Raw genomic sequence first — 24005 nt, forward strand, 5'->3', positions numbered from 1 at the left:
ATAATGGAATGGAATGGAATGGACCCAAATGTAATGTACTCACATAGAATGGACACACATGGAGTAAACTTGAAAGGAATTACCTTGAATGGAATTTATTCGAATAGAATGGAATCGAAAATAAAGCAATAATATGGAAGGGAATCGAATGGAATGTAGTCGAATGGAATGGACCAGAATGGAATGGATTGGAATAGAATGGCTCGAATGTAATGGACAGCAATGTATTAGATTCGAATGGAATGGATTCAAATGGCATCGAATAGAATGGAATATAATTAAACGGAATGGAATGGAATACATTGGAATGGAATAGAATGGAATGGAATCTAGTGGAATGGAATCAAATGGAATGGAATTGACTGGAATGGAGTGGAATGAAATGGGCTCGAATGGATTGGACGGAAACAAAATGAAATAGAACAGATTGGAATTGAATGGAAACGAATGGAATTGAATGGAATGGACTCGAATGGAATGGTGTCGAATGGATGGAATCAAATGGAATGGACTGGAAAGGAATGGACTCCAATGGAATGGACTGGAGTGGAATGGACTGAAATGGAATGGAATGGAATGTAAAGGAATGGAATGGAATGGAATGGAATGGAATGGAATGGAATGGAATTGATTAGAATGGAATGGAATCAGATGGAACGGAATGGAATGAAAAGGAGTTGAATGGAATGGCATCAAATTCAATGGAATGGAAGGGAATCAAATTGAATGGAAATGAATGGAATGCAAGGGTATGGAATGGAAAGGAATACAATGGAATTGAAATGGATGGAACGCATTTGAAAGGAATTGAGTCGAATGCAATATAATCGAATGGAATGGCATCGAATGGAATTTAATGGAATGCAATGGAATGGACTCGAAAGGAAAGGATTTGAATGGAGTGGAATCGAATGTAATGGACTGGAGTGGAATGGACTCGAATGAAATGGAAACGAATCGAATCGAAGGGAATGGAAAAAAAAAGGAATAGAATGGAATGGAATTGTATGTAGCAGAATGGAATGGAATGGAGTTGAAGAGAATAAATTGGAATGGAATGGCACTTCGAATGGAATGGAATGAACTCTGATGGAATTGACTCGAATGGATTAAAAAGAATGGAATGCCATCGAATGAAATGGAATGGAATTGAATGAAATGGACAGAAATATAATGGACCCAAATGTGATGGACTCGAATGGAATGGACTCAAATAGATTGGGATCGAAAAGAATGGCCTCGAATGGAAATTATTCGAATAGAATGGAATTGAAAGGAATGGAATAGTATGGAATGGAATAGAATGGAATGGAATCAAACGGAATGGAACGTAATGGAACAGATTGTAATAGAAAGTGCTCGAATGTAATGGATTTCAAAGCAATTGATTGGAATTGAGTGGAATAGAATGGAATGTAATCAAATGAAATGGAATGGAATGCCATGGAATGAAATAGAATGGAATGCAATGGATTTAAATAGAAAGAAATGCAATGGAATGGAAAGGAGTGCAATCGAGTAGAATGGAATCAAATGGAATGGAATCGAATGTAATGGACTGGAACGGAAAGGACTCCAATTGAATGCACTGCAAAAAATGCAAACGAATGGATAGGTATTGAACGGACAAGAATGGAATGGAACTGAAAGGAATGGACTCGACTGGAATGGAGTGGAATGGAATGGAATCGAATAGAAAGGACTGGAATTGAATGGAAACTAATTGAAAGGAAATCAATGGAATGGAAAGAATGAAATACAATGGAAAGGAATGCAATACAATGGAACAGAATGGAATGAAAAGGTATAGAATGGAATGCAATCATGTGGAATGGAATAGAATGGAATGGAATGGACTCCAAGGGAATGGACTCAAATGGAATAGAATGGAAAGGAAGGGCATGGAATGGAATTTAAAGGAATGGAATAGAATGCAGTGCACCGAAATGTAAGGGAATCAAAAGGAAGTTACTCAAATGGAATTTATTCGAACAGAATGGAATCAAATGGAATGCAACAGTATGGAATGGCATCAAATAGATTGGAATCGAACACAGAGGACTGGAGTGGAATGGACTGGAATAGAACGGACCAGAATGCAATGAATTGCAATGTAATCGATTTGAATGGAAAGGAATCGAATGGAATGTATTCAAATGGAATGGAATGGAATGCAATGGAATGGAATAGAATGGAATACAATGGAATGGAATGGAGAGGAAACGAGTGGAATGGAATGGAATGGAATGGAATGGAACGGAATGGAATCTATTGGAATTGATTGAATTGGAATGGACTGGAAAAAAATGGAATTGAAATGATTGGAATCAAGCGGAATGGAATGGAATGGAATGGAATGCAATGGAATGGAAAGGAATGGAATGGAATGGAACAGAATGGAACGGCCTAGAATGGATTGCACTGAAATGGAATGGACTGGAACAAAATGAAATCGAACGGATTGGAATCGGGCAGAATTATATGGAATGGAAGGGAAGGGAATTGACTCGAACAGAATGTAGTCGAATGGAATGGAATCGAATAGAATGGAATTGAATGGAATCGAAATGAATAGAATTAAATTGACTGTAATGGAAAGATATCGAATGGAAGGGAATGGAAAGGACTCGAATGGAATGGACTGGAATGGAATGGATTCAAAGGGAATGTAGTGGAATGGAATGCAGTAGAATGTAATGGAAAGGAATGGAATGGAATGGAAAGGAACGGAAAGGAATAGAATGGAATGGAATCAGATGCAACAGAATGAGATGGAATAGATTCAAATGAAATGGACTCCAATGGAATAGAATAGAATGGAATGGCATCGAATAGTATGGCATGAAAGGGAGTGTAGTGGAAAGATATCAAATAGAATGGAATGGACTCGAATAGAATCGACTGGATTGGAATTTACTCGAATGGAATGGAATAGATTGCAAGGGACTCGAATGGAATGGAAACGAATGGAATGGAATGGAATGGAATGGAAAGGAATAGAATGGAATGGAATCAGATGGAACGGAACAGAATTTAATGGAGTCAAATCGAATAGAATCGAATGGAATGAAACGGAATGGACTCGAATGAAATGGACTAGAATGGAAAGGAATCTAATGGAATGGCATGGAATGGAATAGAATTTAAAGGAATAGACTGGAATGGAATCGGATGGAATGGAACGAAATTTAATGGAGCCAAATGTAATAGAATCCAACAGAATGGCAATGAATGAATGAAATGGAATGGACTCGAATGAAACGGACTAGAATGGAATATAATCGAATGGAATTCCATGGAATGGAATGGAATGGACCAAAATATAATACACTCGAATGGAATCAACTCAAATATAATGGAAACGAAAGGAATGGTCTCGAATGGAATTTATTTGAATTTAATGAAATCTAATGGAATGCAACAGTATGGAATGGTATTCAATGGAAAGGAATCGAATGGAATGTACTGGTATGGAATGGAGTGAAATGGAATGGACTCGAATGTAATGCATTGCAAAGTAATTGATTTGAATGGAATGGAATCGAATGGAAAGTAATCAAATGGAATGGAATGGAATGGAATAGAATGCAATTCAATGGACTGGAATCGCATGGAAAGAAGTGGAATAGATTCGAATGCAATGGAAAAGAAAGGATTGGAATCGAATGGAATGGACTCGAAAGGAATGGAGTGGAATAAAATGGAATTGAATGGATTGGAATCGAACAGAACGGAATGGAGTGGAATGGAGTGGAATGGAATGGAATGGAATGGAATGGAATGGAATGGAATGGAATGGAATGGAACCGAATGGAATGGAGTCAAATGGAATGGAAATGAATGGAATGGAAAGGAACAGAATGGAATAGTGTGGAATGGATAAATATGGAGTGGAATGGAATGGAATGGAATGGAATCAAAAAGAATGGGCGGGGTAGTTATGGAATCCAATGGAATGGACTACAACGGAATGGACTCGAATGGAATGGAAACGAAGGGAATGGAAAGGAATAGAATGGGTACGAATAGAATAGAATGAAATAGGATTGAACAGAATGGAATGCAATGGAGTGGAATGGAATAGAATCCAATGGAATGGCATTTAATGGAATGGAATGGAAAGGAATGGACTCGAATGAAATACAACAGAATGGAATGACATAAAATTAATTGGAAAGGAATGGAAAGGACCCAAATGTAATGGACTAGATTGGAATTTACTCAAATACAGTGGACTTGAAAGGAATGGTGTCAAATGGAACTTATTCTAATAGAATGGATTCAAATGGAATGCAGTAGAATGGAATGAAATCGAATGGAATGGATTTGAATGGAATGCAGTAGTATGGAATGAAATCGAATGGAATGGAATAAAATGGAAATGAATTTAAGTGAATGGACTGGAATAGAACGCATAACAATGTAATAGATTGCAATGTAATTGGTTTGAAAGGAAAGGATTCCATTGGAATATAATCAAATGGAATGCAATGGTATGCAATGGAATGTAATAGAATGGAATGCAATAAAATGGAATGGAGTGAAATCAAATGGAATGGAATCGAATGGAATGGAATTGAATGGAATGGATTCGAATGGAATGCACTGGAATGGAATGGATTTGAATGGAAAGGAATGGAACGAAATCGAATTGAACAGTTTGGAATCGAATGCAATGTAATGGAATGGAATGGAATGGAATGAAATGGAATGGAATGGAATGGATTCGAAAGGAATTGAAGGCTAGAATAGAACTGAATGGAACTGAATGGAATAGAATGGAATGGAGGGTAATGGAAAGACATCGAAAGGAATGCAATGGAAAGGACTCGAATGGAAAGGACTGGAATGAAATGGACTCGAGTGGAATGGACTGAAATGGAATGGAGACGAATGGATTGGAATGGAATGGAATGGAAAGGATTGGAATGGAATGGAATCTGATGGAATGGAATGGAATGAAGTGGTGTTGAATGGAAAAGAATCATATGGAATGGCATTGAATGGAACGGAATAGAATGGACAGAAATAGAATGGTATCGAATGTAATTTATTTGAATAGAATGCAATCGAATGGAATGCAATACTATGGATTGGAATCGAATGGAATGGAACGGAATAGATAGGACTGAAATAGAACGGACTCGAATGAAATGGATTGCAATGTAACTCATTCAAATGGAATCGAATTGAATGGAATATCATCTTATGAGATGGAATGCAATGCAAAGAAATGGAATAGAAAGCAAAGTAAAGGAAAGGAACGGAGTTGAATCGAGTGTAATGGAATCAAATGGAATGGAATCGAAAGGAAAAGACTGGAATGGAATGGACTCGAATGGAATGCATTTTAACAAAATGGAATTGAAAGTATTGGAATCGAACGGAAAGGAATTTAATGGAAAGGAATTGAATAGAATTGAAAGGAATAGAATGGAATTGAGTGTAATGGAATGATATCGAATGAAATGGAATGGAAGGTAATGGACTCAAATGGAATGGACTGTAAAGGAATGGACTCGAAAGGAATGGACAGAACTGGAAAGGACTCGAATGAAATGGAAATGAATAAAATAATTTTGAATGGAATAGAATAGAATGGAATGGAATCAGATGGAACGGAATGGAATGGAATGGACTTGAAAGGAATGGACTCGAAAGAAATAGAATAGAATGGAATGGAAGGGAAGGAGTTTAATGGAAAGATATCGAATGAATTTAAAGGAATGGAATGGAATCGAATGGAATAGACTGGATTGGAATTTAATGGAATGGACTGGAGTGGAATTTACTCGAATGGAATAGAATGGAGTGGAATGAACTCGAACGAAAAGTAAACAAATGGAATGGAATGGAATGGAGTGGAATGGAATGGAATGGAACGGAAAGGAATAGAATGAAATGGAATCAGGTTGAAAATAATGGAAAGGAATGGAGTCGAATGGAATGGAATCGAATGAAATGGCATCGACTGGAATAGAATGTAATGGGCTCAAATGGAATGGACTCGAATGGAATAGAATGCAATGGAATGACATAGAATGGAATAGAATAGAATGGATTGGAATGGAATGGAATGGACCCAAATGTAATGGACTCGAAAGCAAGGGACTCAAATAGAATGGTCTCAAAGGAATGGTCTCGAATGGAATTTATTAAAATAGAATGGAATCGAATGGAATACAATAGTATGGACTGGAATCGAATGGAATTCAATAAAGTGAAATGGAATGGAATGGAATGGAATGGAGTAAAACGGACCAGAATGTAATGGATTGCAATGTAATTTATTAAAATGGAATGGAATTGAATGAGATTTAATCAAATGTAATGGCATGGAATGCAACGGAATGGAATAAACTGGATTGCAATGGAATTGAACGGAGTGGAATCAAATGCAATGGAACCGAATGGAATGGAATCGATTGGAATTGACTGCTATTTAATGGACTGATAGGGAATGGACTCGAATGGATAGGACTGGAACAACATGGAATCGAATGCATTTGAACTGAATGGAAAGGAAAAAAATGGAATAGAATGGAATGAACTCGAGTAGAATGGAATCGAAAGGAATGGAACTGAATGGAATGAAACTGAATGGAATCAAAAGGAACAGAATGGAATGGAGTGTAATGGAAAGGCATTGAATGGAATAGAAAGGAATTTAATGGATTCAAATGGAATGGACAGGAATGAAAAGTGGTCGAATTGAGTGGAATAGATTGGAATGGAATAGAATAGAAAGGAATTGAATGGAATCAAAGGGAATAGAATTGAATGGAGTGTAATGGAAGATATCTAATGGAATGGAATGGAATGGAATGGGCTCAAATGGAAATGTCGGTAATGGAATGGACTCCAGTGGAATGGCCTGGAGGGGAATGGATTAGAATGGAATGGAAGCAAACGGAATGATATGGAATGGAATGGAATGGAATGGAATGGAATGGAACGGAATGGAAAGGAATAGAAAGGAATGGAATAGGTTGCAATAGAATGGAATGGAATGGAGTCCAATGGCATAGAACAGAAAGCAATGGCGTCGAAAGGAATGGAATGGAGTGGAATCGAATGGAACCGACTGGAGTGGAATTGACTCGAATGGAATGGAAACGAGTGGAATGGAAGGTACTGGAATTGAAAGGAATAGAATGGAATCGGATGGAACTTAATGGAATGCAATGGAGTCGAAAGGAATAAAATCGAAAGGAATGGCATCAAACGGAATGGAATTGAATGGAATGAACTCGAATGGAACTTATTCAAATGGAATGGAATAGAATAGAATGAAATGACTTCGAATGGAAAAGAATGGAATCTAATGGACCCAAATGAAATGGACTCGAATGGAATGGACTCAAATATATTGGACTTAAAAGGAATGGTCTCGAATGGAATTTTTTCGAATAGAATGGAATTGAAAGGAATGAAATAATATGAAATGGAATCGAAAGGAATGGAATCAAGTGGAATGGACCGGAATGGAATGGACTGGAACGGAACGGACTCGAATGTAATGGAATGCAATGTAATTGATTCGAATCGAATGGAACGTAAAGAAATGGAATGGAAAGGAATGCAAAGGAATGTAATAGAATGGAATGAAATGGAATGGATTTTAATGGACCCAAATGTGATGGACTCGAAAGGAACGTACGCAAATATAATACACTCATAAGGAATGGTTTCGCATGGTATCTATTAGAATTGAATCGAATCGAAAGGAATGCAATAGTATGGAAAGGAATCGAATGGAATGTGATAAAATGTAATAGACCGGAATGGAATGGACTGCAATAGAATGGACTGTATTGCAACGTAATTGATAAAAATGGAATGGAATCAAATGGAATGAAATCTAACGGTATGTAATGGAATGCAATTGAGCGGAATAGAATGGAATGCAATGTAATGGAATGGAGTGGATTCAAGTGGAATGGAATCACATGGAATGGAATCGAATGAAATGGAATTGGATGGAATGGACTGGAATGGAATGGACTCCAATGGAAAAGACTGGAACAAATGGAATAGAAGGAATTGGAATCGAATGGAAAGGAATGAAATGGAATGGAATGAACTCTATTGGAATGGAGTTCAATGGAATTATACCGAATTTAATGGAATAGAATGGAATGGAATTGAATGTAATCAAAAGGAATATAATTGAATGGAGAGTAATGGATAGATATTGAATGGAAAGGAATGGAATGGAATGTGCTCGAATGGGATGGATTGAAATTGAATGGATTCGAATGTAATGCAATGGAGTGGAACAGTCAGAAATGGAATGGGAAAGAAGGGAATTGAATGGAATGGAAAGGAATAGAATGGAATTAACTCGGATGGAACAAAATGGAATAGAATGGAGTCGTATGGAATGGAATAGAATGGAACAGCATCAAATGGAATGGAGTGGAATGGAATGGACCCAAATGTACAGGATTCAAATGAAGTGGAATCAAATAGAATGGACTTGAAAGAAATGGTATCGAATGGAATTTGTCCGAATAAAATGAAATCGAATTTAATGCAAAAATATCGAATGGAATGAAATGGAATTGAATGGAGTGAACTGGAATAGAATGGACTCAAAGGTAATGGATTTTAATGTAATTGATTCGAATGGAATGGAATCGAATGGAACTTAATCAAATGGAATGGAATGGAATGCAATGGAAAGTAGTAGAATGGAATGCAAAGGAAAGGAACAGTGTGGCATCGAGTGGAATGGAATCGAATGGAAAGGAATCGAACGGAATGGAATCGAACAGACTGGAGTGGAATGGAATGGACTCGCACTGGAAGAAAATGCAATGGAACGGATTTGAATCGAACAGAAAGGAATGGAATGGAACGGAATGGAATGGAATGGAATGGACTTCAACGGAATGGATATGAATGGAACGGAACCGATTGGAATGGAACCGAATAGAATGGAATTGAAAGGATTCAAAAGGAAGAGAATGGAATAGAGTGTAATGGAAAGATATTGAATGGAATGGAATGGAATGGACTCAAATGAATTGGACAGGAGTGGAATGTACGCTAATGCAAGGGACTGGAGTGGATTGGACACGAATGAATTGGAAACGAATGGAATTGAACGAAAAGGAATGCAATTGCATCCATAGGAATAGAATGGAATGGAATCGGATGGAACGGAATGGAATGGAATGCAGTAGAATGGAATAGAATACCATGCAATGGTTTCAAAAGGAATAGAATGAAATGGGACTGGATTCAAATGCAATGGACTCGAAAGGAATAGAACACAATGGACTGGTTTAGAATGGAATGCATTGAAATGGAAAATAATGGAATGGATTCGATTCAAATGCAATGGACTCAAATGGAATAGAATCGAATGGAATGGCATCGAATGGCATGGAATCGAATGGAATGGATTGGATTGAAATGCAATGGACTTGAATGGAATGGAATAGAATTGAATATACTGGCATGAAATGCAAAGGAATGGAATGGAATGGAAAGGAAAGAACGGAATGGAATGGACACAAATGTAATGTATTGAAATGTAATGGACTCAAATAGAATGGACTCCAAAAGGATTGGTCTCGAATGGAATTTATTCCAATAGAATGGAATCTAATGGAATGCAATACTACGGAATGGAATCAAATGGAATGGAATTGAATGAAATGTAATCAATCTGAATGGATTGGAATGCAAAGGAATGGAATTCAGTGGAATGCAAAAGAAAAGAAAGGAGTGGAATTGAGTGCAATGGAGTCGAATGGAATGGTATTAAATGGAATGAAATCGAATGGAATTGACTGGAATGTAATGGACTCGAATGGATTAAACAGGAAAAAAATGGTGTCGAACAGATTGGAATCTAATGGAATGGAATGGAACGAAATGGAATGGAATGGAATGGAATAGACTCAAAAGGAATGGAGTCGAATTTAATGGAGTCAAATGGAATGAAATCGAATGGAATGGACTGGAATGGAATTGAAAGTATAGAATGGAATAGAGTGTAATGGAAAGAAATCGAATGGAATGGAATGGAATGGACTCGAATAGAATGTATCGGAATTAAATGGACTTGAATGTCATGGACTGGAGTTGAATGGACTCGAATGCAATGGAAACGAATGGAATGGAATGGAGTAGTGTTCAAAGGAGTAGAACGGAAAGGAATAGAATGGAAGGGAAGCGGATGGAATGGAATTAAATGGAATCAAAAGGAATAGAAAGGAAAGGAGTGTAACAGAAACATATCAAATGGAATGGAATGGACTCGAAAGGAATGGACTGCAATGGAATGGACTCGAATGGAAGGGACTGGAGTAGAATGGCCCCGAGTGGAATGGAGACGAATTGAATGAAATGGAATGGAAAGGAATGGAATGGAATGGAATGAAGTGTAATGGAAAGAATTAGAATGGAATGGAATCGGATGGAACGGAATGGAATGGAATGGAGTCGAATGGAATAGAATCGAATGCAATGGCATCAAATGGAATTGAATGGACTCAAAGGGAATAGAATTGAATGGAGTGACATGGAATGAAATGGATTGTAATGGAATGGACACTAATGTAATGGGATGTAATGGAATGGACTCAAATAGAATGACCCCAAAAGAAATGGTCTCGAAAGTAATTTATATGAATAGAATGGAATAGAATAGAATGCAATAGCATAGAATGGAAAGGAATGTAATGGAGGAGAATGTAATGGACCGGAATGGAATGTACTGGAATAGAACGGACTCGAAAGTAATGCATTGCAATGTAATTGATTTGAATGAAATGGAATCGAATGGAATGTAAACAATTGGAATGGAGTGGAAGGCAATGGGATCGAATAGAATGTAATGCAATGGAATGGAACGAAGTGGAATCGAATGGAATGGAATCGAATGGAATGTAATAGAATGGAATGGACTGGAAATTAATGATGTGGAATGGAATGGACTGGAGAGGAATGGACTCGAATTGAATGGAAACGAATGGAATGACATGGAATGGAATGGAATGCAATGGAAAGTAAAGGAATAGCATGGAATGGAATTGGATGGAACGGAATGGAATAGAATGCAGTCGATTGGAATAGAATCCAATGGAATGTGTTTGAATGGAATGGAATTTAATGGAATAGAACGCATTCGAATGGAATGGACTAGAATGGAACAGAATATACTGGAATGGCATCGAATGGAATGGAATGGAATGGAACGGAATAGAAACAAATGTAATGTTCTCAAATGCAATGGAATCAAATAGAATGAACTTGAAAGGAATGGACTCGAATGGAATTTATTCGAATAGAATGGAATTGAATGCAATGCAATAGTATGGAATGAAATAGAATGGAATGGAGTTGAATGTAATGGACCGGAATTGAATGGACTGGAATAGAATGGACTAGAAGGTAATGTACTCCAATGTAATTGATTCAAACTGAATGGAATCAAATGGAATGTAATCAAAAGGAATGGAATTGAATGCAATTGAATGGAACAGAATGAAATGCAAAGGAATGGAAACGAGTAGAATCGAGTGGAATGGAATCGAGTGGCATGAAATTGAAAGGAATGGAATCGATTGGAATGGATTGGACAGTTGTGGACTCCAATGGATAGGAATTGAACAAAATGGAATCGAACAGATTTGATTCAAACATAACGGAATGGTATTGCATGGAATGCACTATAATGGAATGGAGTCGAATGGAATGCAGTCGAATGGAATGGAATGATATACAACGGAATTGAATGGAATCGAAAGGAATACAATGGAATGGAGTGTATGGAAAGAAATCGAAAAGAATGGATACGAATGTAATGGACTGTTGTTGAATGGACTCGAATGGAATGGAAACGAATGGAATGTAATGGAAAGGAGTGGAATGGAATGGAATGGAATGGAATAGAAAAGAATGGAATGTAATGGAAAGGAGTGGAATGGAATGAAAAGGAAATCAATATAATAGAATGTAATTATATGGAACAGAATAGAATTAAAAGGATTGGAATGGAATACAATCAAATGGGATGGGATCAAATGAAATGGAATGGAATTTAATGGAATGGACCCAAATGTAATGGACTCGAATGGAATTGACTCAAATAGAATGGACTCGAAAGGAATGGTCTTGAATGGGGTTTATACAAATAGAATGGAATCGAATGGAATGGAATAGAATGGAATTGAATGGAATGGAATGGAGTCGCTGGGAATGGACCGGAATGGAATGGACTGGAAAATAACGGACACGAATGCAATGGATTGCAAGGTAACTGATTCGAATGGAATGGAATCGAACGCAATGTAATCAAATGGAATGGAATGGAATGCAGCGGAATGAAAGCAAATGGAAGGCATTTGAATGGAACGGAGTTAAATCGAGTGGAATGGATTCTAATGGAACGGAATCATATGGAATGGAATGTAATGGAATGGAATAGAATGGACCTAAAGGTAATAGACTCTAATACAATGTACTCGAAAAGAATGGCAGCGAATGGAATTTATTCGAATACAATGGAATTGAATAAAATGCAATAGTATGGAATGGAATAGAATGGAATGGAATTGATTGCAATCGAAAGAAATAGAATGGAATGCAGTGTAATGGAAAGATATTGAATGGAATGTAATGGAATGGACTCAAATGGACAGGACGTTAATGGAATGGTTTTGAATGGAATGGACTAGTGTGGAATGGATTCGAATGGAAAGTAAAAGAATAGAAAGGAAATGAATGGAATGGAATGGAAAGGAATACAATGGAAAGGAATTAGATGGAATGGAATGGAATGGAATGGAGTCGAATGGAAGAGAATAGAATGGAGTGGCATTGAATAGAATGGAGTGGAAGGGAATAGAATGGTTATGAAAGGGATGGATTCGAATGGAATAGAATCGAATGGAATGGCATGGAATGGAATGGAATGCAATGGAATGGAATGGAATTCAATGGAATGGAATGGAAAGGACCCAAATATATTGGACTCAAATGGAATGCACTCAAATAGAATTGATTCAAAAGGAATGGTTTCAAATGAATTTATTCTATTAGAATGTAATCGAACGGAATACAATAGAATGGAATGGAATCGAAGATAATGGAATAGAATTGAATGGAATGGAATGGAAGGGACTGTAATAGAACGGACTCGAATGTAATGGATTCCAAAGTAATTGCTTTGAATGGAATGGAATTGAATGGAATATAATAAAATGTAATGGAATGGAAGGCAATAGAATGGAATAGAGTGGAATGCAGTGGAATGGAAAGGAGTGGAATCGAGTGTAATGAAATCAAAAGGAATGGAATCGGATGGAATGGAATTGATTGGAATGGACTGGAATGTAATGGACTCGAATGGTTTTGACTAGAAAAAAATCAAATCGTACAGACTGGAATTGAACAGAAGGGAATGGAATGGAATAGAATTGAATGGAATTGAGTTGAATGTAATGTAGTCGAATGGAATGGAATCGAATGGAATGGAATATAATGGAATTCAATGACATAGAAAGGAATATAATGGAATGGAGGGTAATGGAAATAAATCGAATGGAATGGAATGCAATGGACTCGGATGGAATATACTGGAATGGAATGGACTCGAATGGTATGGACTGGAGTGCAATGGACTAGAATGGAATGCAAACGAAAGGAATGGAATGGAATGGAATGGAATGGAATGGAATGGAATGGAATTTAATGGAATGGAAACAATCGAATGGAATGGAATCGGTTGGAATGGAATGTAATTGAATGGAGTCAAATGTAATAGAATCATTTGGAATGGCCTCGAATGGAATGGAATGTAATATAGTGGACTGAAACGGAATGGACTCGAATGGAATGGATTGATATAGAATGGAAACAAAAGGATGGACTTGAATAGAATTTATTCGAATAGAATGGAGTTGAATGGAATGCAATAGTATGGTACGTAATCGAATGAAATAGAATCGAATGGAATTGAGAGGAATGGAATGGCCTGGAAAAGTACAGACCCGAATGCAATGTATTGCAAAGTAATTTATTCAAAAGGAATTTAGTCGAATGGAACATAATCAACGAAATGGAATGGAATAAAATGGAATGGAATAGAATGGAATGCAATGGAATTGAACAGAGTGGAATTGATTGGAATGGGAACGAATGGAATGGAATCGAATAGATTGGGCTTGAATGGAATGGACTGTAATGCAATAGACTGGAAAAAACCGGAATTGAACGGATTGGAATCAAAGGCAAAGGAAAGGAATTGAATGGAATGGAATGGAATGGATTCAAATACAGTGGAATCAAATGGAATGGAATTGATTGGAATCAAAAGGAAAATAATTGAATAGAGTGTAATGGAAATATATCGAATGGAATGGAATGGAAAGGAATGGTCTCGAATGGAATGGACTGCAATGGAACGGATTCGAATGAAATAGAGTGGAGTGGAATGGACTCGAAAGAAAGGAAATAAATGGAATGTAAAGGAAAGGAATAGAATGGAATGGAAACCGGATGGAGCGGAAAGGAATGGAATGGAAAGGAATCAGATGGAACAGAATGGAATGGAATGGAATGGAATTCAATCTAGACAAACGGAATAAAATCAAATGGAATGACATCGAATTTAATGGAATGGAATAGAATGGACCCAAATTTAATGGAGTCAAATGGAATGGACACAAATAGAATGGATATGAAAAGAATGGTCTCGAATGTAATTAATATGAATAGACGGGAATAGGATGGAATGCAATAGTATGGAAAGGAATCGAATGGAATGGAAACGAATGGAATGGACCGGAATGGAATGGAATGGAATAGAACGGACTCGATTGTTACATATTGCAATGTAACGGATTCAAATGGAATCGAAAGGAATATAATCAAAAGTAATGGAATGGAATGCAATGCAATGGAATTGAAAGAAATGAAATGGAATGGAACAGAGTGGAATTAAGTTGAATGGAATCGAATGGAATGGAATCGAGTGGAATGGAACCGAGTGGAATGGAGTTGAATGGAATGGACTGGAATAAATTGGAATAGAATGGATTGGAAACGAACGGAACGAAATTGAATGGAAACGAATGGAATGGAATGGACTCGAATGGAATGGGGTCGAATGGAATGCAATTGAATGGATTGGAATTAAATGGAATTGAATCGAATGAAATGGAATTGAAAGGAATCGAAAGTTATAGAATAGAATGAGGTGCAATGGAAGGAACTGGAATTGAATGGAATGGAATGGAATGGAAACGAATGGAATGGAATGGACTCGAATGGCATAGACTGGAAAGGAATGAACTCGAATCAAATGGAGTCGAAAGGAATGGAATCGAATGTAATGAAATTGAAAGGAATGAAATTGAAAGGAATTAAAGGAATAGAAAGGAATGGAGTGAAAAAGAAATATATCATATGGAATGGAATGGAATGGACTGGAATTGAATGGACTTGAATGGAATGGACTGGAGTGGAATGGACTCGAATGAAATGGACTGGAGTGGAATGTACTAGAATCGAATTGAAATGAAGGAATGGAATGGAATGGAATGGAATACTATGAAATGGAACCTTATAGAACAGAAAGGAATGGAATGCAGACGCATGGAATAGAATCTAATGGAAAGGCATAGGATGGAAAGACTAGAATGGAATGGACTCAAATGAAATGGATTCGAACAGAATATAATTGAATGGAATGGCATCGAGTGGAATGGAATGGAATGGGATGGAAGGGAAAGGAACCAAATGTAATGGAGTCTAATGGAATGTACTTAAATAGAATGAACATGAAGGGAATGGTTTCGAACAGATTTTATTCGAATAGAATGGAATCGAATGTAATGTAATATTATGGAATGTAATAGAATGGAATGGAATCGAATAGAATAGAATGGAATGGACTGGAATGGAATTGAACGGACTCTCATGGATTGCAATGTAATAGTTTCGAATGAAATGGAATCAAATGGAATGTAATCAAATGGAATGGAATGGAATGCAATGGAATGGAATAGAATGCAATGCAATGGAATGAAACAGAGTAGAATAGTGTGGAATGGAATCGAATGGAATGGAATCGAATGGAATGGACTGGAATGGAAAGGAATCCAATGGAATGGACTGCAACAAAATGGAACTGAACAGATTGGAATCGAACTGAATGGAATGAAATAGAATAGAATGGAATGGACTCTAATGGGATGGAGTCGAATGGAACCAAATCAAATGGAATGGAGTGGAATGGAGTGGACACGCATGGAATGCACTGGAACAAAATGGAATGGAACGGATTGGAATCGAACAGAAAGGAATGGAATGGAATGGAATGGAATGGAATGGAATGGAATGGAATGGAATGAAATGGAATGGAAAGGACTTGAAAGTAATGGAGTTGAATGGAATGTAACCGATTGGAATGGAATCGAATGTAATGGAATTGAGTGGATTCAAAAGGAATAGAATGGAATGGAGTGTAGTGGAAAGATATTGAATGGAATGGAATGGAATCAAATGGATTGGACAAGAGTGGAATGGACGCGAATGGAAAGGAATGGAGTGGAATGGACACGAATGAATTGGAAACGAATGGAATTGAATGAATAGGAATGAAATTGCATGCAAAGGAAAAGAATGGAACGGAAACGGATGGAACGGAATGGAATGGAATGCAGTAGAATGCAATTGAATACAATGGAATGGTTTCGCATGGGATGGAATGAAATGGAATGGAATGGAATGGATTGGATTCCAATGCAATAGACTCGAATGGGATAAAATAAAATGGAATGGTTTCGAATGGAAGGGAATGGAATGGATTGGATTGAAATGCAATGGACTCAAATTGAATAGAATCGAATACATCAAATGGCATGGAATTGAATGGAATGGATTGGATTGAAATGCAACGTACTCAAATGGAATAGAATCGAATTTAATGGCATGAAATGCAATGGAATGGGATGGAATGTAAAGGAATGGAATGGAATGGACTGGACACACATGTGATGTACTCAAATAGAATGGACTCCAAAAGGATTGGTCTCGAATGGAATTTATTCGAATGGAATGGAATCTAATGGAATGCAACACTATGGAATGGAATCAAATGGAATGGAATTAAATGGAAAGTAATCACACGGAATAGATTGTAATGCAATGGAATGGAAGTCCATGGAATGCAAAGGAAAGGAATGGAGTGGAAATGAGTGGAATGGAATTGAATGGAATAGAATCAAATGGAATGCAATCGAGTGGAATTGACCGGAATGTAATGGACTCGAATGGATTAGACAGGGAAAAAACGGAGTAGAACAGAATGGAATAGAGTGGAATGGAATGGAATGGAATGGAATACACTGGATCCAATTTAATAGACTCAAAGAGAATGGAATCGAAAGGAAAGGTAGCGAATGGAATTTATTCAAATACAATGGAATTGAATAAAATGCAATAGTATGGAATGGAATCGAATGGAATGAAATTGAAGGGAATCGAAAAGAATAGAATGGAATGCAGTATAATGGAAAGACATCGAATGGAATGGAATGTAATTGACTCAAATGGTCAGGAGTTGATTGGAATGGTCTTGAAGGGAATGGACTGGAGTGGAATGGACTCGAATGCAAAGTAAACGAAAGGAAAGGAATTGAATGGAATTAATGGAAAGGAATAGAATGGAACGGAATTGGATGGAATGGAATGGAGTCGAATGGAATAGAATAGAATGGAATGGCATTGAATTGAATGGAGTGGAATGGAGTGGAGTGGAAACAAATGGGATGGATTCGTATGGAATAGAATCGAATGGAATAGCATCGAATGGAATGGAATGGAATGGTATGGAATGGATTGGAATGGAAAGGACCCAAATATATTGGACTCAAATGGAATGCACTCAAATAGAATGGACTCAAAAGGAAGGGTTTCGAATGTATTTATTCAATTAGAATGTAATCAAATGGAAGGTAATAGAATGGATTGCAATCTAAAATAATGGAATCAAATTGAATGTACCAGAATGGAATGGATTGGTATACAACGGACTCGAATGTTATGGGTTCCAATGAAATTGATTCGAATGGAATGGAATTGAATGGAATATAATCAAATGTAATGGAATGGAAGGCAATGGAATGGAATAGAATGGAAAGCAGTGTAATGAAATGGAGTGCAATCGAGTTCAGTGGAATCAAAAGGAATGGAATCGAATGCAATGCACTGGAATGGAAAGGAATCAAATGGAATGGACTGCAACAAAATGGAATTGAACAGATTGGAATCGAACTGAATGGAATGAAATAGAATGGAATGGAATGGAGTCGAACTGTATGGGGTCGAATGGAATGGAATCGAATGGAATAGAATCGAATGGAATCGGATTGAGTGGAATGGAAGGGAGTGGAATGGAATGAAATCAAATGGAATGGATTCAAATGGAATAGAGTCGAGTAGAACGGCATCAAATGGAATGGAATGGAATATAATGGAATGGAAAGGAATGGAATGGAATGGACCCAAATGTAATGGACTCAAACGGAACGGACTCAAATACAATGGACTTGAAAAAAAAGGGTTTCGAATGGATTTTATTCGTAACAAATGGAATCGAAAGTATTGTAATAGGATCGAAAAGAATTGAATGGAATGGAATCGAATGGAATGTACCAGAATGGAATGGAGAGGAAAAGAATGGGCAAGAATATAATGGATTGCAATGAAATTGATTCGAATGGAATTAAATCGAATGGAATGTAATCAAATGGAATGGAATTCAATGCAATTGAATGGAATAGAATGGAATGCAATGGAATGGAATTCAGTGGAATCGAGTGGAATGGAATCAAATGGAAAGGAATAGAATGGAATGGACTCGAATGGAATGGACTTGAAGTAAATGGAATCGTAAGGATTGGAATCAAATGGAACAGAACGGAATGGAATTGAATGGAGTGGACTCGAATGGGATGTACTCGAATGGAATGGAATCGAATGGAATGCAACTGAATGGAACCGAATATAATGGAATTGAATGGAGTGTAATGGAATGATATAGAATGGAATGGAATGGAATGGAATCGAATGGACACGAATGGAATGGACTGGTCTGGAAGGGACTGGGAAGGAATGCATTGTAGTGGAAAGAACTCAAATGGAATGGAAACGAATGTGAAGGAAGGGAATGGAATTGAATGGCAACAAAAGGAAAGGAATGGAATTGAATCGGATGGAATGGAATGGAAGGGAATGGAGTTGAGCGGAATAGAATCTAATGGAATGGCATCGAATGGAATGGAATGGACTAGAATGGAACACACTCAGGTTGAATAGAATCAAAAGGAATGGCATCGAATGGATTGGAATGGAATGGAATGGAATGGACCCAAAAGTAATGAACTCGAAAGCAATGGATTCAAATAGAATGGACTCGAAAGAATTGATCTCGAATGGAATATATTCGAATAGAATCTAAAAGAATGGGAAGCAATAGTATGGATTGCAATAGAAAGGAATGGAATTGAACAGAATATAGCGCAATGGAATGAACTGGAAAAAATGGAATCGAACAGATTGAAATCGAACTGAACAGAATGGAAGGGAATGGAATTGAGTGGAATGGAATGTAATGGAATGGTCTCAAATGGAATGGACTGGAGTGGAATGGAGACGAATGGAATGGAAACGAATGGAATGGAAAGGGATGGAATGGAATGCAAAGGAATATAATGGAATTGTTTCAGATGGAATGTAATAGAATGGCTTTGAATGGAATAGATTCAAATGGAATGGCATTGAATGGAATCGAATGGAATGGATTGGAATGGAATGGAATGAAATGGACCCAAAAGTACTAGGCTGTAATGGAAAGGACTCAAATAGAATGGACTCAAAAGGAATGGTCTTCAAAGGAATTTATGGGAACAGAATGTAATCGAATGGACTGCAATAGTATGGAACGTAATAGAATGGAGCGGAATAGAATGGAATGAAATGGAATACAATGGAATGGAATAGAAAGGACATGAATATACTGGATTACAATGCAATTGATTGGAATGGAATGGAATCAAATGTAATGTAATCAAATGGAAAGGAAGGGTATGCAATGGAATGCAATAGAATGGAATGCATTGGAATGAAACGCAGTGGAATCAAGTGGAATGGAATCGAATGGAATGGAATCAAATGGAATGGAATCAAATGGAGTGGAAACGAATGGAATGGAATTGAACAGAATGGAATCGAATAGAAAGGACACGAATGAAATGGACAGGAAAAAAACTGGAACCGATCGGAATGGAGTAGAACAGAATTGAATGGAATGGACTCGAATCAAATCGAGTATAATGCAATGGAAAGTAATGCGATGGAATCGACTGGAAATGAATTGAATGGAAATGAAAGGAAAAGAATGGAATGGATTTTAATGGAAATATATCGAATAGGATAGAATGGAATGAAATGGACCCTAAAGGAAAGGGCTGGAATGGATTGGATGCGAATGGAATGTACTGGAGTTAAATGGACTCTAATGGAATGGAAACGAATGGAATAGAATGGAAAGACATATAATGAAATGGAATCAGATATAATGGAATGGAATAGAATGGTGTCAAATGGAATAAAAACGAAAGGAATGGCCTCAAATGGAATGGAATCCAATTGAATGGAATGGAATCGAATAGAATGTAAACGAATGGAATGGAATTGAATAGAATGAAATGGAATGGAAAGGACAAGAATGAAATGGATGGGAACGAAATGGAAGAGAACGGACTGGAGTAGAACGGAAAGGAATGGAATGGAATGGAATGGAATAGAATGTAATGGAATGGACTCGAATCAAATGGAGTCTAAAGGAATGGAAAGTAATGCAATGGAATCCAATTGAAATGAATTGAATGTAATTGAAAGAAATAGAATGGAATGGAGTGTAAAGGAAATATATGGAATGGGATAGAATGGAATGAAATGGACCCTAAAGGAATGGGCTGCAATGGAATGGATGCGAATGGAATGGACTGGAGTGAAATGGACTCTAAAGGAATGAAAACTAATGGAATGGAATGGAAAGGCATAGAATGGAATGAAATCAGATGGAATGGAATGGAATGGAATGGAATGGAATGGAATGGAATGGAATGGAATGGTGTCAAATGGAATAGAATTGAATGGAATGGCATCAAATGGAATGCAATGGAATGGAATGGAATGGAATGGCCCAAAATATAATTTACTAGAAACGAATGGACTCAAAAGAATGGAGTTAAAAGTCATGGTCTCGAATGGAAGTTATTCGAATACAATGTAACTGAAAGGAATGCAATAATATGCAATGGAATCAAATAAAATGTAATTGAATGGAATGTACCAGAATGGAATGGACTGGAATAGAACGGACTCGAACGTCATGGATTGCAATGTAATTGATTCAAATGGATTGGAATCGAATGGAATGGAATCGTATGGAATGGAATTGAATGGAATGGACCGGAAAGAAAAGGACAGGAATAGAATGGAAATGAATGTAATGCATTGCAATGAAATTGATTCGAATTGAATGGAATTGAACGGAATATAAACCAACGGAATGGAATGGAATGGAATGCAATGGAATGGAATGGAATGGAATGCAATTAAATGGAATGGAATAGAAAGGAATCGATTGGAATGGAATCTAATTGAATGGAATTGAATAGATTGGAATTGAATAAAATGTATTGGGAAGGAATGGACTCGAATCGAATGGATTGGAACAAAACGGAATCGAACGATTGGAATTGAATGGAACGGAAAGGAATGGAATCGAATCGAATGGAATGGAGTCGAATGGAATGGAATCAATTGGAATGGAAACGAATGGAATGGAGTAGAACGGAACCAAAAGGAATAGATTGGAAAGGATTGTAATGAAATGTTATCAAATAGAATGGAGTGGAATGGAATGGAATCACATGGAATCGACTGGAATAGAATGGACACGAATGGAATGTACTGCAGTGGAATGGACTTGAAAGAATGGAAACAAAAGGAATGGAATGGAATGGTATGCAAAGGAATTGAATGGAAAGGAATCTAATTGAGTGGAATCGAACCAAACGGAATGGAGTGAAATGGACTCGAATGGAATGGAGTTAATTGGAATGGAATTGAATGGAATGTAATTGAATGGGTTGGAATTGAATGGAATCAAAAGGAATAGATTGGAATTCAGTGTAATTGAAAGATATCGAATGGAACGGAATGGAATGGAATGGACTCACATGGCATGGACTGGAATGGAAAGAACTCGAACGGAATGGAGTCGAAAGCTATGGAATTGAATAGAATAGCATTGGAAGAAATGGAATTGAAAGGAATTAAAGGAATTGAATGGTATGGAGTGTAATGGAACGAAATCAAATGGAATGAAATGGAATGAAATGGACTCGAATGGAATTGACAGGAAAAGAATGGAATCAAAAGTTATATACGTGAGTGGAATGGACTCGAATGAAATGAACTGGAGTGGAATGGACTAGAATTTAATGGAAACGAAAGGAATGGAATGGAATGGAATGGAAATGAATGCAATAGAATGGAATGGAATCTGATAGAATGGAAAGGAATGGAATGCAGTCGTATGGAATAGAATCTAATAGACTGACATAAAATGGAAAAATGGAATGGAATTGAATGGAATGGAATGGATTCGAATTGAATGGCCTGGAACGGAATGTAATAGAATGGAATGGCATCGAACAGAATGGAATGGAATGATATGGAAGGGAATGGAACCAAATGTAATGGAATCGAATGGAATAGACTTAAATAGAATGGACTCTAAAGGAATTGTTTCAAATGCAATTTATTCGAATAGAATGAAATAGAATGTAATGCAATAGTATGGAATAGAATTGAATGGAATAGAATCGAATGGAATGAACAGGAATGGAATAGACTGGAATAGAACAGACCCTCATGTAATGGATTGCAATGTAATTGATTCGAATGGAATGGAATCTAATGGAATGGAATCAAACGGAAAAGAGTGGAATGCAATGTAATGGAATAGAATGGAATGCACTGCAATGGAATGGAACAAAATGGAATGGACTGGAACAAAATGGAATCAAAAAGACTGGAATCGAACTGAATGGAAAGAAATGTAATGGAGTGGAATGGACTTGCATGGAATGGAGTTGAATGGAATGGAATCGAATGCAATGGAATTCAAAGGAATTGAAGAGAATGAAATGGATTTGAATGGAATGGAATGGAATAGAATAGAATGGAGTGTAATGGAAATATATCGAATGGAATGAAATGAAATGGATTGGACTCGAATGGAATGGACTGAAATGGAATGAAATTGAATGGAAAGGAGTGGAGTGGGGTGGACTCGAATGGAAAGGAAACGAATGGAATGGAATGGATTGGAGCGTAATGGAAAGGAATAGAATGGAATGGAATTCGATGGAATGGAATCGAATGGAGTGTAATGGCAAAGAATCTTATGGGATGGCATTGAATGGAATGGAAAGGTATGGAATGGAATGGACTGAAAGGAATTGATTCTAGTGGAATGGAATCGAATGGAATTGCATCGAATGCAATGGAATGGAATGGAAACGGATGGACAAAATATAATGGACTCGAAGGGAATCGACTCAAATAGAATGGACTCGAAAAAAATAATCTCGAATGGATTTTCTTCATATAGGCTGGAATCGAATGTATTGCAATAGTATCGAAAGGAATTGAATGGAATGGAATCTAATGGAATGTACCAGAATTGAATAGAGTGGAATAGAACGGACATGAATGTAATAGATTGCAATGAAATTGATTCGAATTGAATTGAATCAAATGGGATGAAATCAAAAGGAATGGAGTGGAATGCAATGGAATAGAATAGAAACGAATGCAGTGGAAAGAACGGAATGGAATCGATTGGAATGGACTGGATTGGAATGGACTCGAATGAAATGGAATGGAAAAATAATGGAATCGTATGG

General features: G+C 37.0%; 4 annotated features.

Annotated features, from left to right (window-relative positions):
• Nucleotides 304–854: an enhancer, noted in NCBI's record as "OCT4-NANOG hESC enhancer chrY:13648683-13649233 (GRCh37/hg19 assembly coordinates)". NCBI's record gives its function as "activates a minimal SCP1, AML or CMV promoter by ChIP-STARR-seq in naive H9 embryonic stem cells {active_cell/tissue: H9 hESC(naive)}" and the evidence as "EXISTENCE:reporter gene assay evidence [ECO:0000049][PMID:30033119]".
• Nucleotides 988–1551: an enhancer, noted in NCBI's record as "OCT4-NANOG hESC enhancer chrY:13649367-13649930 (GRCh37/hg19 assembly coordinates)". NCBI's record gives its function as "activates a minimal SCP1, AML or CMV promoter by ChIP-STARR-seq in naive H9 embryonic stem cells {active_cell/tissue: H9 hESC(naive)}" and the evidence as "EXISTENCE:reporter gene assay evidence [ECO:0000049][PMID:30033119]".
• Nucleotides 1950–2647: an enhancer, noted in NCBI's record as "OCT4-NANOG hESC enhancer chrY:13650329-13651026 (GRCh37/hg19 assembly coordinates)". NCBI's record gives its function as "activates a minimal SCP1, AML or CMV promoter by ChIP-STARR-seq in naive H9 embryonic stem cells {active_cell/tissue: H9 hESC(naive)}" and the evidence as "EXISTENCE:reporter gene assay evidence [ECO:0000049][PMID:30033119]".
• Nucleotides 10182–11174: an enhancer, noted in NCBI's record as "OCT4-NANOG hESC enhancer chrY:13658561-13659553 (GRCh37/hg19 assembly coordinates)". NCBI's record gives its function as "activates a minimal SCP1, AML or CMV promoter by ChIP-STARR-seq in primed H9 embryonic stem cells {active_cell/tissue: H9 hESC(primed)}" and the evidence as "EXISTENCE:reporter gene assay evidence [ECO:0000049][PMID:30033119]".

The sequence above is a fragment of the Homo sapiens genome, chromosome Y (assembly GCF_000001405.40).
Source record: "Homo sapiens chromosome Y, GRCh38.p14 Primary Assembly".
Taxonomy (NCBI): Eukaryota; Metazoa; Chordata; class Mammalia; order Primates; family Hominidae; genus Homo; species Homo sapiens.